Source organism: Homo sapiens, chromosome 2 (genome assembly GCF_000001405.40).
Source record: "Homo sapiens chromosome 2, GRCh38.p14 Primary Assembly".
NCBI classification, from domain to species: Eukaryota; Metazoa; Chordata; class Mammalia; order Primates; family Hominidae; genus Homo; species Homo sapiens.
The window spans coordinates 71,351,068-71,367,547 of record NC_000002.12 but is presented as its reverse complement, the minus strand read 5'-3'; the positions used below and the strand labels follow the sequence as shown (position 1 = coordinate 71,367,547).

Genomic DNA, 16,480 nt, shown 5'->3' with positions numbered 1-16,480 from the left:
GGCAGGAGAATCACTTGAACCTGGGAGGCGGAGGTTGTGTGAGCCAAGATCACGCCACTGCACTCCAGCCTGGGTGACAGAGCGAGACTCTGATTCAAAAAAAAAAAAAAAAAAAATTAAAACACCCAGCTGGGTGTGTTGGCGCATACCTGTAGTCTTCTACCTGGGAGCCTGAGGCAGGAGGATACTTGAGCTCAGGAACTTGAGGCTGCAGTGAGCTATGACTGTGCCACTACACTCCAGCCTGGGTGAGAAAGCGAGACCCCCATTTCTCTTATTTTTTACTAAATAAGAAAACTTAAAAAAAAAAAAGTTCCACTGCCACCACCTAGAAGTCTTGAAACAAAATGAAAAGAACTTCATATTATGAGACTAACTCAGCCTCTTCAAAATTTTCCCTATACTCAAAAATTTCTTCCCAATGCTCTTCAAAATTCTGTTAATTACTGGTTGATTATCAGAAGTTTATCCTTCTAAATGTAAGTTCTTTGGGGCAGGGAACAGCACTTACTGAAAGTCTTTCATGTATTTAAATACTGTTGAGAGCAATGCATTCCATACCTAAATACTTGAAGACTTATTAATATTAAAATATACAAAATATTTGATATTGGGCCTATTAGGATTTTCTCTGAAGATAGTCTCTTGATGTTTTAATATATTAATAGTGATTTAATAAACACATACAATAAAACAATACCTTAGTATCGTAACCAGTAGGTTACAGTCAAAATAACACTAATAAATCAGTACCAAAGTATAAATTTTACACTGTACAACAGAGTATTTGACTTCTGAACTGTACCACAAAAAGTATAGAACAGATGAATAATGATCAATTCTCAGGAGAGGCTCACTCTTATACCTTACTAAAAAAGATTACAAAAGCTCAATAATGCTGCTGGTGATTATTCATTTTCCCAATTAGAGAGCAAAACTCATCACAGTGATCTGCTTGTGAAGCTAGCCAAAAATGCCAAACCATCAAAATGTTCTTTTGACACATCAAATACCAAACCACTGGAATTCCTAAGCTACGAGATTTTGAACCTTGGACTTTTATTATACTCACAAGAAAAACCAGTAAAATATTCCATACTAAAATCATGTAACAAAACTCATAATTTCAAAGTTATTGGAAACACGGAATAAAAAAGTTAAGACAACTTCATTTTTTTTTTTTTCTTGAGACAGGGTCTTCCTTCTGTAGTTCAGGCTGGAGTGCAGTGGTGTGACCTCAGCTCACTGCAACCTCTGCCTCCCGGGCTCAAGTGATCCTTCCACCTGAGCCTCCCAAGGCCTCCCAAGTAGCTGGGACTACTGGCACCCGCCGCTACCCCCAGCTCATTTTTATATTTTTTGTAGAGAGGGAGTTCCACCACGTAGCTCTGGCTGGCCTCAAATTCTTAAGCTCGAGCGATCCACCCCGCTTGGCCTCCCAAAGTGCTGGGATTCAGGCATAAGCCACCATGCCTGGCAACAACTTTGTTTTCTGTTTGTCATAGCAAATGTACGCATATTTGCACTAACAAAGAATTACGAAGCCAGGCATAGTGGCTCATGCACTTAGGGAAGCTGACGTGGAAGGACTGCCTGAACCTAGTAGTTCGAGACCAGCCTGAGCAACATGGCAAGACCCCATCTCTACAAAAATTAAAAAATTAGCCAGGCATGGTGGCACACGCCTGTGGTGCCAGCTACTTGGGAAGATGAGGCAGGAGGATCACTTGAGCCCAGGAGATCGAGGCTGCAGTGAGCCATGCTTGTTGCACCACTGCAGTCCAGCGAGGATGACAGAGTGAAACCTTATCTCTAAAAATAATTATTAATTAAAGAATTACCTTTCGCTGGAGAGAAACAGCTTTATCAGACACCTGTTTACATTCTGACAAAGTGTCATCTTCAAGATTCTTTGATTTACAACGAATAGAATGTCCTCCTAGATTTGAATCACTCTTTGTAGCGCTTGTAGGTTTAACTGATGGTTTTGTTCCACTGCTAGTTTTAGGCTTTTGTGCTGGTGAATGTCCCTTATCAGCAGCTTCAAGATGCTTCTGTTTATTAAATTCTGTCCCATGCCCAGATCGTTGTACTACATCTTCTAATGCTTTTTTTCTATCTAGTAAAAAGATATAAATATAATTTCAATTGGAAAAAAATTAAGGTAGGAGCCATCTCATGACATAATCACATAGTGCTATTCTCAAGCTAAACAGGGAGCACACAGACAATACAAAAATCTAGATTTTATGCACTCAGAAGGCTTTTACATGAAGTTCCTTTATTCCCTTATACCAGTGATCCTCAAACTTTTGGTTTTGAGATTGCTTTACACTTATTGAAGACTACAAAGATTTGTGTTATATTTACTGATATTTACCATATTAGAAATTAAATTGTAAAAATATTTATCAATTCATATGTTAGGTTGGTGCAAAAGTAACTGCAGTTTTTGCCACTGAAAGTAATGGCAAAAAAAGTAAATTCCCATATTAACATAAATATTTTTATAAAAACCAACTGTAATTCCCAAAACAAAATTAGTGAAATGTGTAGCACTATAGTACCTTCTTCCACACATTTTAATGTTGAGCTTAAAAGAAGAACCTAAATTCTTATATCTGCTTCTGGATAAAGAAAATCCAGCCTCATGGAGGCATGTAATTAGAAAAGAGATCTCATAGAACTCTTAAAAGATCTTGAGGACCCCAATCGATCCTTGGGCCATACTTTAAGAAGGAATGCCTTATATAATTAAAGGTATCTCCATTTGAATTCAGCATTTTAGACTATACTAGACACAATAAGACCTGTGCAAAGTACTATTTTTGAATTTTTCAGGCTAGTCAAGTGAAACAGTGGGAGTGTCAAAGTACTTCTCAGATATTAACTATGGTTTCTTTCATTGTAGAAGAAGGTGTGTGTTTGTGTATGTGGGCATGCATGTGTGAGCTAGTTCTGAAAGGGTCATAAAATCAACATTAAGTCACAGGTTAAAAAAAATAATCTCAAAAACATTTTAAATTAATCCATGGAATTCTATAATCAATTATTAAAGCAAACTAAGACATTTTTACCATCCTTGGTTTTTAAATATGATGTTGATGGACACATACATTCACACACATTTCTTTGCCAAGTTACCAGAGGGAATAACTCTGTGGCATGTGGGTCAGATTTCATTTATCAACTCTAAAATTTAATAAAGTAGAACATTTCTCAAAATCCAAAAAGAAAGACATTTAAAAATTTAGTCAAAATAAGTACATTCACTATTTCATGGCCATCAGTGTACCTGATGATCTCACTGATCTCCTTGACATCCTCTCAGGGCTAACTGATCGAAAGCATTTTGGACTACCTCTAAATGGATTTCTAATTCGATATGGTGAACGGGATCTGGATCTGGATCTGTATCTAGAAATGAAACGATGGCAAATTCTTGGACTTCGACTTCTCGGCCTATACATGTAATGCATTGGGCTTCGAGACCGACGGAATCTGTGACTTGAGCTTGATCTTCTAGAACGCCTAGGACTGGGGGAATGAGAACGTCTTCGTGGAGTTTCATTTTCTTTTCTATTGCCCTCATTTCTACAAGCAGGGGGGCGGAAAAGAAAGTGATCAGCAATTTAATGTAAATTTAAATGATAATAAATGACAGAAGTACCTTGTTAAAAACAGACTGTTAACAATACCAAACTCTCATAAAAGATATGTACTTAAAACAAAAATCTGTTTGTTATGATGTAATTCAGCCTTATACGTAAATAAGAAACAATCAGAACAGTTTATCAGCCCTCCAATTGCTTGGATGTCTGTTTTCTAGTTTACAGAAGAATACGATAATGAATTTCTCTGGTTTTTCCTGTACCAACATTATTCCAATTATGTTTTTAAAGTATTAAATTATGTAAAGAATTTAGGAAATGATTTACGTAAACAGATGTTTTCAATAATTTTTTCCTGAAAGATTATGCCATCTATAAATATGACTTTGATTTCTCTATGTGTGTGTACGTGTGTGTACACACATAACCTGAGGAGAATCCCCTAGGGGATACAGAACTTAATAATATCACTCCTAGCATTCAAGGCATTTACAAGAGAAGATGTCATAAACATAAAATAATAATGTCAGAATAAAGTATTTTCAGAACAGGCTAAAGAAAGTAGATCAGGGGAGGGGCTGTGTCACCTTTAAGCTGGAATAAGTTAAAGATTCATAGAGGTTTTTGCATTTGCCTGTTGTTTAAATGGCAGAAGTAGAACTCAAAAGAATCACTTTCTTAAAATTAACTGTTTACTTTTAAAAGACAATCAGGTTTTAATAATATTACTATTTTTAAAAATTACCTTCTCGATGGGAGGATCTCAGGATTCCAATCAGGATACCTATTTTGAAAATAAACAATATTAACTAACAGCTAAAATCAGACTGTAAGGCTCAATTAATCTTTACCTGTAATATATCAAAAGGACTTTTCACAACTTTTATTGGAAATAAAATATTTTGAGAGTTTAATTCAATAAATAATCAAAGTATTATGCTAATAGGTGTATCAGGGAAACACACTCCCCATACTTTAAAGGCCTAAACTTTCATTTAAGTAAACCGGCCAGCATATGCACAGAAGTGTTAAGAGGTACAAGATACGAGCTTAGGTTAAGGGTTAAAAGAGAGAAGACAGTTCATCTACTTTACAGAACTCTAGGGAACACCACTCCTATCATATTCCATATGGCAACTCACAGAATACAACATGAATGGTGCCCCTTAACTTGCCCCAAGTAGTCCTCATAAAGATATGTCCACTGAGAGGAATCAGGAGAGAACTCATAGAAAGGGTTGCTTTTCAAGTAGCCCTTACAAAGATCTATTAATAGGAATGGATCAGGTTAGATTTCATGCAGTGGCAATATGTAAACTAAGATTGGAGGCAAAACATCGGTGTTTTGTTCCAGGAAGTGGTCTGGCTACAGCATAGACATGATGAAAAGGAATTATAAAGGGGGAAACTTGGACAGGCTGTCTGTTGTTTCAGGTAGAGACAAATTACGAAGAGCCTTAAAATCAGGTAATGAGGTTACACACAGGAAAAAAACAATGGGAACTTAACGAACATTTGTAAGAGAAGATAACAGGAATGTTTTCAGAATAAGTGTAAAGGAATATCTGGAATTAGGGGAAAAGATGAGAGCTGAGATATTTAGAAATCAGGCATGTAGAAGCCGCAATTATAGCCCTAAGAGTGAGACTAACACAAGATGAAGTTTATAGGAAAAAAGAGAGCCGAGGACAGAATCTTAGGCACATCGACAACTTTAGAGTAAAGCAAAGAAAAAAAATAATAAAAGATTAAGAAGCAATCACGGAAAAACTAGTAGGAGAAACAGTAATATCATAGAAGCCTAAGAAAAAGGCTGTATCTTCACTCTCAACTTCTAGAAAATCTGAACTCTAAGAGGCATCTGGACATGCTGATTATATTAAATAAATAAATCACTACATTTAAGAATAAAATTTCAGCAGCAAGATGAAAGCCAGGTAAGGAAATGGAGGCAGCAAACTTCTGACAAATCACCTAGCAGGAAAATAACGTTAGGTCGAACCTTATTAAAGTGGTTTGTCTTGGTTGCTATTTGCCTCAGACATTGTTAATGAGCTAACCCCACAGCAATTCTCAATTCCCTTTTCCCTTGTTTGCCTTTATTACAATGGCAAAAAAAAAGCTAAATATTTGCTTTCCCACTATCTCTAGAAGACAGCCAGTGGTAAGTTCTAACCAATGAGATACAGGTACAAAACCCCTGACAGACATCTGAGAAAGCGTCTGCCTCATTCTTCTTACTTTGAGAATAGATATATTGTCTGGAGCATCTTTTAATTATGAGAGGACAAACTGTGAAGACAAAAAAGTTAACTTTAATCCAACATACCCATCATCTAGTGTCAACAATTCCCAATATATGGATAATTTTGTTTCATCTATTTCCACACTTTTTAAAACTTTCATTGCTCTGTACCACCCAGGAGGATAAATTCCTAGTCTTACAGTGATTCAAAGCAAATCTTTAATCATCAAACAAAACTGGGTTTCACTATAGGTGCTGTCATTTAATGGCTAAGAAACTTAAAGCCAGTTACTTAGAATGTGTAAGCCTTAGCTTTCTCACATGTATATGCTGGAAATGAAGGTGATTAACAACACATCAAAGTTATTAAATTTCCAGGGGGTCTCTAGTTTATGGTTCACAAGAGCTTGAAGACTAATATTCAAGAGCTGGTAATAATGGTGGAGCATGGTGGCTCATGCCTGTAATCCCAACACTTCGGGAGGCTGAGGTAGGCAGATCGCTTGAGCTCAGGAGTTTGAGACCAGCTTTGGCAACCCTGTCTCTACCAAAAATACAAAAAATTAGCTGAGCGTGGTGGCACTCACCAGTGGTCCTAGCTACTCAGGAGGCTGAGGTGGGAGGATCACTTGAACCCAGGAGGTGGAGGTTGCAGTGAGCTGAGATAGCAATAAATAATATTGTTGATCTTCATTAGGTTCAGGTTCACCAAGTTCAGACCTGTTCACTAGGTAACACATGTTCTCATCTCTGCTGCCCAGAGCAGAAAGATAAAGCATGTATACATTCTGCAAGCAGAATTTGGAAACACCTCTATACTGCCCAACTAGTCAAAAATGTGCTTCAGAAGCAATAACGCTCCCAACAAAGGTGGTATAACATTAACTATTAAGAGCAAGGACCTAGTTAACTGATATTATCTTTGTCCCAATGTGATGCAATAAATACACATCACCAACGAAGCATTTGCAACAAAAATGTTCTCAGTGAATTTAATGCTAAGGAAACAAATAGAAAACTATAGGAAGTGGGACATTCAACAAGTTTCCCAGACATTTCAAGGAAAAAATCAACACCACAAAAACATCCTTCTCAAACAAAAAAAAAAGACAAACAAAACAAAAAACAAACGAAACAAAGAGTAGGCTATTCTAGATTAAAAGAGACTGTAATGCATAAATCTTAACTGAATACTGGATTGAGGGTATGGATGGGGCAAACAAGAAGAATTATAAAAGGCATTCTGGAAAGAAATGGGAAAATATGAATTTGGCTTATATATTAGAAGGAACTGTGGAATTATTGTTAATTTCCTTAAATGTGTTGTATTGTGGTTATGCAGAACATCCTAATACTTCGGAGATACATGCTGAATTTAGAAATGATGTCCCATAATGTCTGCAATTTATTTTCAAATAGTTCAGAAAAAAATGTATGAAGATATAATAAAGCAAATATTAACAAATGGTGAATATAGATGAAGAACACATAAATGTTTTTCTTCCTTTTTCTCTTCAATATTTTATTCTGAAAATTTTTTAAGCCATAAAAAAGTAGAAGGGATGATAAAGGCCCATGAGCTAAACTAGTTCCATTTAACTATGTGCTGCATGATGGTAGGGAAATTGTCTCTGTGCCTCACTTCTCTCATTGATAAAGTCTGGAATAATCCTTATACTTAACACCTCGTAGATGGTTTTGAAGACTAAATCAATTATGTAAAGCACTAAGAATGCCCAGCACACAATAAACACAGCATAATTACCTATTTTTAATATTAAAATTCTGATGCACTGTTATCTTTCCTCAACTACTCTTGTATCATAATCCAGAAAGAGCCAATAAAGCCAGAGAGAATAAGCCACAAGAAAAGAAAAATCTAAATATACATCAATGGAGGAATGAGTAGAAAGAAGGTATATCCCTATAACACAGCTTAAAAGAATAAAGAATGCAGATCCCAAGCACCTAACCAAATCTATTTATTAAATTATTTTGCAGTGGAGAGAAAGTTATGAAGCAATTATTCAAGTGCATACAACCTGAATGTGATGGTTAATTTTGGGTGTCAACTTGACTAGATTGAGGGATGCTTAGATGGTTGGTGAGGCATTGTTTCTTGGCATGTCTGTGAGAGTGTTTCCAGTGAAGATTAGTCTGTGAGTCAGTGGGCTGAGTAAGGAAGATCTGCCCTCAATGTGGGCGGGCATCACGCCATAGGCTGGGAGCCCAGATGGTACAAATAGATGGAAGAAGGTGGAATTCCCTCTCTCCACCCCTCCTTCCCTCAGAGCGGGATGCCCTTCTCCTCCTTGTTCTTGGACATCAGAACTCCAAGTCTTATGCAACTTGCATCAGCAGGCTCCTGGGGCTATAGGGCCTTTTGCCTCAGACTGAGAATTATGCTATCAGCTTCCTTGGTTTGGAAGCTTTTGAATTTGGACTGAGCCACACTACCAGAAACCCAGAGTCTTCAACACACAGACAGCATATTGTGGGACTTCTCCGCCTCCATAATTGTGTAAGCCAATTCCCCTAGTAAATCCCCTGTCATATATCGATACATAGGCATACCTCAGAGATACTGTAGATTCAGTTCTAGAACATCACACTAAGCGAGTCACATAAGTTTTTTGGTTTCCCAGTGCAAATAAAAGTTATGTTTAGACTATGCCAGTCTATTAACTGTACAATAGCATGTTTTTAAAAATGAACATGTATTAATTAAAAAGTACTTTATTGCTAAAAAATACTGATCATGAGCCCTCAGCAAGTCAAAATCAAAGATCACTGATCACAGATTGCCATTAACAGGTATAGTAATAATGCAAAAATTTGAAATACTATGAGTGTGACTCAGGGACACAAAGTGAGCACATGCTGTTAGAAAAATGGCACCGATAGGAAAGAGTCCTGACTGACCCAGTAGAGACAAGGGAAGAGGGAGGCCCTGGATCTGCCATTGTGATCAGAGTGAGGCCAGGTGAAGAAAAATGTGCAGAAGGTAAGAAACTGTGAAGGCATCATGAGGCCTGGTTAGGAGACACAGCCTGGAGAATTAGGAAAGACATACTGTTATTTTAAATTTCAAACCACAGTTACCTGTGTAACGAAAGAACCCTTAAGCCCCACAATAGGAAAAAGTGGAAACTGACCCAGAGGATGCCAGATCGAAGGATATATCCAGTTGCAGTTCTTACCAGCATACAGGTGCTAATACACACACTGTTCATTTTCAGCTTCAGCTCTTGATTGCTTTTGGCAGCAAAAGCACTGCTCAAGGCCCAGACGAGAGAGCGATTTGGTATTAGGGGAAACTGATTAAAATGGATTCTTGAATGGTGCTCCCCAAAAGATACATACATATATATGTTCCAATCCCTGGAACTTGTGAATGTTACCCGATTTGGAAAAGGATCTTTGCAGATGTAATCAAACTAAAATTCTTGAGATGAAATCATCCTGAATTATCCAATGGGCCCTAGATCCAATAGCCAGTGTCTTTCTAATAGCAGGGCATAGGGAGGTTTAAGGGAAGAGAAGGTGGTGTGAAGACAGTAGCAGAGATAGGAATGATAGGCTACAAGCCAAGGAATGTCAATGATTGTCCCCAGTCACTAGAAACTAGGAGAGAAGCATGGAACAGATTTTCCCCCAGAGCCTCGGAAGGGAATGGTGGCCCAACTAACACCATGATTTCAGACTTCTGGACTCTAAATAGAAATTTATTCTCTCCCAGTTTAAGTCAAAAAGAAAAAAACAAAAAGAAAAATGGCACCAGTAGACTTGACACAGGGTTCCCACAATCTTTCAATTTGTAAAAAAGGCAAATTATGGGAAGTACAATAAATCGAAGTGCAATAAAAGGAGGTACGCTTGTATTTATATATATCTCCCCTATTCATCTCTGTGGAGAACCAAAATACACTGGATATGGTTAAAAAATAGAGTAGAACATTAAAGTAGCAGGCATGGAAAGCAAATGCTTTAAATCAGGGTCCTACATGTATGAAAAAAATAATAGGCTTACCTACACTAAAGGCTTTAATAGATATATACATGCTGTTTGCTCAAGTAAATTAACGTAGCTATAATCCTCTTACTAGCATGAATGACTCTCTAAAATAAGTAACTCACCCCCATCCAACTAAAAATTCACCTTCATAAGAATTAAGACATCCCACTGGGTACCTCTGGGAAAATGTTGCTTAGGAGAGATTTTCGATTTTCGACTGTATTCCTTACAGTGGCAGTAAGGCGTATCTAATTCAGGTAACAAATTATCTCCCCATGATAACCTATGTTTGTCTTTACAGCATCTATATAGGATAGTAACCCCAATTTCCAGTCTTAGTGCAAAAGATCCAGGTGACACTTATCTCACTCTCAACACCCGGAGCAGACATATGACACAAACCGAGATGGACTACCCTATTCCCACAGCCACTATAATGTGTTTAGGGATGGACAACTAACCAAAATTGAACCAAAAGAGTCAAAACAAGGACTTCTGCCAGAGTTATGGAGAAAGAAGTGCTTTAAAGGAAAAAGGTCAGATGGGAGAGGCATATATTCTCAGAACCTCCCGAGGCTGTGTCATAGAGTGAGGGGTGGGATAAGGAAAACAAAAACAACAACAAAAAAACTCCTAGAAATGCCAGCTATACAGATCACTTACATCCAGAACCGTGGGGTCCATTTTGCTATGTGAAAGAAGTGTGTCCAAGATTTCATAAGGCCAATGCAAAAGACAACAGCTAAGAAAGAAGTATTTCTGACACCAATTTTTATTTGAGCATCCAATACAGCTGCTCCTGAAACTTATTAATAGAACCACCAACCTCATTTAAGCTTCCCAGTTAAGTGAGCTTACAAATTCTTACTTAAAAAAAAAAAATTTTTTTTTTTTTTGAAACAGGCTGTCGCCCAGGCTAGAGTGCAGTGGCACAATCATGGCTCACTGAAGCTTCTATCTCCTGCACTCAAGTGATGCTACCACCTCAGCCTCCCAAATATTATAACTACAGATGTGTACTACCATGCCTGGCTGATTTTTTTATTTTTATTTTGGTAGAGACAAGATCTTGCTGTGTTGGCCAGGCTGAACTCCTGAGCTCAAGCAAGCCTACCTGTCTCAGCCTTCCAAAGTGCTCAGATTACAGTCATGAGCCAGCAACTAATCTGCAACTTTAACCACTTACAACCAAAAGGATTCTCAATAATAATCTCAAATCCATTTGCCCAATAACACGTTACTCTCAGTCTAGTGGCTAGGAACTGTTTAATGGTACTAGGGAAGACAGAGTTTAATTTGATGTTACTCCAAGAGATACAGGAACATAGTGTTAAAATCACACTTTTTCACCTCTATGGCCAGTAGGGAAAACTTCACAGGTGCCCTGTCTTTAAGAAGAAAAAGGGGGAAGAATTGAAGAGCCAAGGTTAAGGAAGCAAGACATCTAGCTTGTCCATCCCTTACTTAAGGTATATTCTGAAAACTGGTTCTAAGTCAGAGAAGAGCTTTAGGTCCAAAATTAAATACTGGTGTTTGGTTTGCACTGATTTTCAGTTACTTGTCCTATGGGAAGAGGTGGAGATAGGAGAAGAAAGGATACCTGCTCTGATATAGATAAAAGATCCTGGGGAAGGTAAGCCAGCAAAGAATGAACTAATGACATAAAAAGTTTACCTACTGGGAATTAAGTTAGAAAAGTGTCAAAGGATATACTGAATTCTACCATTTTGGAAAAATATTAAATATACTTCCAGAAAACTAATATTTTTAAAAGACAATAGCTTTCCAAAAATATTTTTCTCCAAAGTATTATACTAAAGGTATTTAACAGTCACATCTGAACATTAACTATTTTGTAAATATGCTATCTATAATAAAGGAAAAATATATTCTTACTGTTGACGTAACTGTCGACAGCTCTCAATATGAGTAGATGTATTTTGATGCTGAATCCAATCCTATTGTAAAAGGAGAAAAGTGTTGAAATTAGAATATTCCTCATGTTGACTAATGAATTAGGCTTTTAAAAAAGACAAATAATATTTTGTTCAAAAATTAAACAAACGTACTCATAAATAGCATTTGGCTGCTCAGTAAAATTTTCACAAACAAAAATTAAAGGCCTTGAAACAAATGCACTTAATACCATACCTCACTGATCCCATTTGAAAATATTTTAGTACAGAAAACATTTTCAAAATCATACCCGTGGATGCTCATTTTGAAATCAATATATAAACTTGGAGAAAATAAAAGCATGGATCAGAAAAAACTTACTGCAAATATAAAAACAACACACCAGAAAACACCAAAAAATCTATAAGTAAAACGGTATCTGTGAAACAGCATCTTCAAAATACAATATTTCAATGACAAATACCTCTAAAATTCACGCTAACAACATCAACAATCAAAAAATGCCGCCGGGCGCAGTGGCTCACGCCTGTAATCCCAGCACTTTGGGAGGCCAAGGAGGGCGGATCACGAGTTCAGGAGATCGACACTACTGTGAAACCCTGTCTCTACTAAAAATACAAAAAATTAGCCAGGCGTTGTGGCGGGCACCTGTAGCCCCAGCGACTCAGGAGGCTGACGCAGGAGAATGGCGTGAACCCGGGAGGCGGAGCTTGCAGTGAGCCGAGATTGCGCCACTGCACTCCAGCCTGGGCGACAGAGCGAGACTCTGTCTCCAAAAAAATAAAAATAAAAATAAAAATAAAATAAAAATGCTACCTGATAGACCAGTACCATTCCATACAAGGTACTCACTATACTGGCAAATAAGATTAGGAAAAACATGGGGAAAAATGCTACTGATCAAATCTATTTTCAAAATTTAAAAGTAACAACATTTCAAAGATACAATATCCCTTACATATAGAGCTTTGAGCTTTACAATTAACGAAATGCTTCTTTTTTTTTTTTCTTTTCTTTTTTTTTTGAGACAGTTTCACTCTTGCTGCCTAGGCTGGAGTGCAATGAGGCGATCTCGGATCACTGCACTCTCCACCTCCTAGGTTCAAGTGATTCTCCTGCCTCAGCCTCCCTAGTAGCTGGAATTAACAGGCATGTGCCACCAAGCCTGGTGAATTTTTGTATTTTTAATAGAGACAGGGTTTCACCATGTTTGTCAGGCTGGTCTCGAACTCCTGACCTCAGGTGATCCACCTGCCTCGGCCTCCCAAAAGTGTTAGGATTACAGGCGTGAGCCACCATGCCCAGCCCAAAATGCTTTCTTATACATTACTTCATTTACAAATAAATCTGTCCTAAAATTACAATGTGTACCCATAAATAACTCTGGAAGATACATCTGGTTAAAAAAAAAAAAAAGCCAATACAGTTTACAAAGATACAGTTTCCAAGGTGAAACAATTAGTTAAAAGCAATATGTATGTTACTCAATGTTTTACTGTTCCTCCAGCATTTGGAAAGGCAGAAAACTTACTAAATAACTTCGTATTTCAACACTTTGCTTAAGGAAAATGTTATTATTTGTTTCCATTTGAAATACATTTTAGTTTAGGTCATTAGAAGTTTCCACAGTTAAAACCACGGTTGACAATAATTTTGGATTCTGCCTTGGCAAGAACTATCTGAAAGAAGGTACACTGATTTGCAATGCTCAGCATCAATTTAAACTCAGCAACAAGGTATGACAAATCCTAAACTATTTCATTAAGCCATGGAACTGATTGTGGACTACAAAAAAGAAATGTTTGTACATCCTGTTTAATAATACAAATAGAAAGCTAGAAGAAGAGTCTCTAGTAGTACTAAAACCCATATTTTTAATATTAATTGGACACTGTTTACATCAAACAGACACACTGGTGCAGGCAGTGGGTTGGGCATGATTTATTTGAACCATAAAGTGTTTTATCTGAATACGTTGCCAACATTTAATAATCCAGAGATTTTTACCCGCAAGTCCAGATTTCCAGCTTTTCTTGAAAAAATAGGAAGATACAGTAATACAGGATATCATTCTTACAGCAACTATCACCTGAAGATGATGGCTGCCCTATTTAAGATATACTCTTCTCAGTTCAACACACATACACACATTCTTAGGCTTGCTTCACAAATTGACATTACTTGCTTTAAGCTCAGTAAACACACCCATCCCACCCCAACTTCTAGACTCTCTAGTAATAGTTTCCACATTATAGTCCAAAAGCAGCACTGCCTCCCCAGAGAAAAAGTGATAATTACCTACTAGCAGGAGATGCTGCAAGGACTGCACAGAATTAGGCAGGCTCAGAATGAAACTGAAAATATATAACTACTCGTATCAGGGCTCACTCACTATTCTCAACAATTTTTTATTGTCGGTACTTTCTCAAACTGAATTATTTCAGTCATTATGACACAGCTCCTAAACCAAGGGAAGTTTCTCCTTTAAAATCTGAACCCCAATTTAACAAGCAAATACATTTCACGTTCTCAAAGTACATCTTCACAGCTATAGTTTCAAAGACTCGAAGGTGGGGAATATACATATTGTCAGATTTACTCAATAGGAAAAAGTTTACAATTGGTAATTTACATTTATTGGCTTCATATTTATGTCATATATACACACACAGGAACACTTACGAGGCTGCAAAATATATCACAGAAACGAGAGGCAGTGTGTACCATCGAAATCCATCTTCACAAATCCCTATCATTTGGCCACTTAGTAGTGAAAAATTCATTACTTAGATGAGCCCCATTCTGTTGTGCTGTTAAAAGGTGTGTCTGTTTTTTAATGGCAATCTATCTAGGTGAGCTCTAATGATGACTAAATGATTTCCTTTCCTCTCAAATTTTTACTTTTATCCTATTAACCCAGGTTTTTACCATCTTATACTTGAACAATTAAAGAAGCTTCCAAGTGGAAGTCCTACTCCACATCATCTCATTTCTATTTACCCTGCATACTTCAGTCAGATCTCCCTAAAATATACTTCCAACATGTCACTTCACTTATCAACAAACTTATTTAGCTTTCTAATGCCTCTCACCTCAAGTCTAAACTCCTAGGCTAGCTCTTCAAAGCCTTTCGTACTTATTTCTAATACGCTCATCACTCTTTCCCAACTGCCTCCTACCACAATGAAATGTAGTCTTCTCTCCGGACCTCTGCCTCTCTGTATGTTGTTGCCGCCAACCCTCCTCTTCTTTTTTTTTTTTTTTATTTTTTTTATTTTTTTTGAGATGGAGTCTCGCTCTGTCACCCAGGCTGGAGTGCAGCGGCGCGATCTCGGCTCACTGCAACCTTCTGCCTCCTGGGTTCAAGCGATTCTCTGCCTCAGCCTCCTGAGTAGCTGGAATTACAGGTGCGCATGACCACACCCGGCTAATTCTTGTATTTTTAGTAGAGACAGGATTTCACCATGTCAGTAAGGGTGGTCTTGAACTCCTGACCTCAGGTGATCCACCTGTCTCGGCCTCCCAAAGTGCTGGGATTACAGGCAGTGAGCCACTGTGCCCGGCCCCCTCCTCCTCTTTATACAGGCATATCTAAAGCCTCAATTCAAGACCCATCTTCAACCTACTCCATGAAGTCTTCTCTCCCACATCATTCTAGTCAAGACAGACTTAGTGCATTTAGTAACTGACATTCCATTAGTCTAACTAGGCTATAAAAGTCTTTTGATGTCAGGATGCATATTTATACTTATTTTTAAACACATACTGTTACAAATACAATAGTTAAAATAATTAAATTGGCAAATTGGTAATGATTAAATTGGTAAATTGATGATGCTGGCCTGAGTGATACATGCCTGAAATCAAGACAGAAATCTCTGTCCCCTACAGCATATCCAAACAAGTTAAATCAATCACAAAACCACTTGTTGTCTTCTAATTGTTTTAAATGTCTTGGGAGCATAATTTTTCTCCCCAATAAGACTGAATAAACTGCTTAATAACATCTAAAATTTTACACAGTTCCTCATTTCTGCCCCAGTACCTAATTGGAGTCAAGTACAAAACTGGTATCCATAAGTACATACTAAATTAAATGTACACCTTTTCTACTCTACAGAATACAAAACTTCAAGTTCTTTATTTAAAGATGTATTTTCTTGGATTCATTATGATTAATTAAAAGTTCAAAATCAATTAAAAAAAATTATGTGGTATGCCCAGTCACAAGAATACAGACAAACACTCAATTCACTACTTAGGCCAGGGCTACTTACAGATTACAATTAGGTGATATGAATTATTCTAAGACTTTCCCTTGTAAGGACTTTGCTATCCCTTCTGATGGAATAAGGCAACTATTATTTTAATAGAATTTGGCACATCTGGCTAAAATGGGGTAGAATGCTGCTTTCTTTTGCTGGAGTTAACCTTAAGAAAATACCAACAGATCTAATTATCAGATTCATGTTGACGAAAACCTAGTGAGTAAATAATGAAAAGAAAATCGAAAGGCAGCACTGGAAGAAAAGAACAAGAGCGTTAACACACAGATTTTTAAGCCTAAGTATACAACCAATTCCAGGCCATGGCCTTGAATCAAAGCTTTTTCCCATGTTAGTATATTCTCTTCTGACCCTTTACAATCTAAATCTATAAATCACATTAGTAAATAGAAGAAACAGTGATTGC

General features: G+C 37.3%; 1 protein-coding gene across 4 annotated transcripts in view; it reads right to left on the bottom strand.

Moving 5' to 3' along the window:
• Window positions 1-16,480, bottom strand: part of ZNF638 (zinc finger protein 638) — a 103,280-nt gene that overhangs the window by 67,514 nt on the left and 19,286 nt on the right. For all 4 annotated transcript variants that reach the window (NM_014497.5, NM_001252613.2, NM_001252612.2 and 1 more), the window contains exons 3-6: window positions 11,768-11,829; window positions 4,357-4,395; window positions 3,296-3,594; window positions 1,842-2,119 (exon numbers count right to left, since the gene is read on the bottom strand). In NM_014497.5, the coding sequence (NP_055312.2) occupies window positions 1,842-2,119; window positions 3,296-3,594; window positions 4,357-4,395; window positions 11,768-11,829 (678 nt within the window). The remainder of the gene's footprint in view (window positions 1-1,841; window positions 2,120-3,295; window positions 3,595-4,356; window positions 4,396-11,767; window positions 11,830-16,480) is intronic.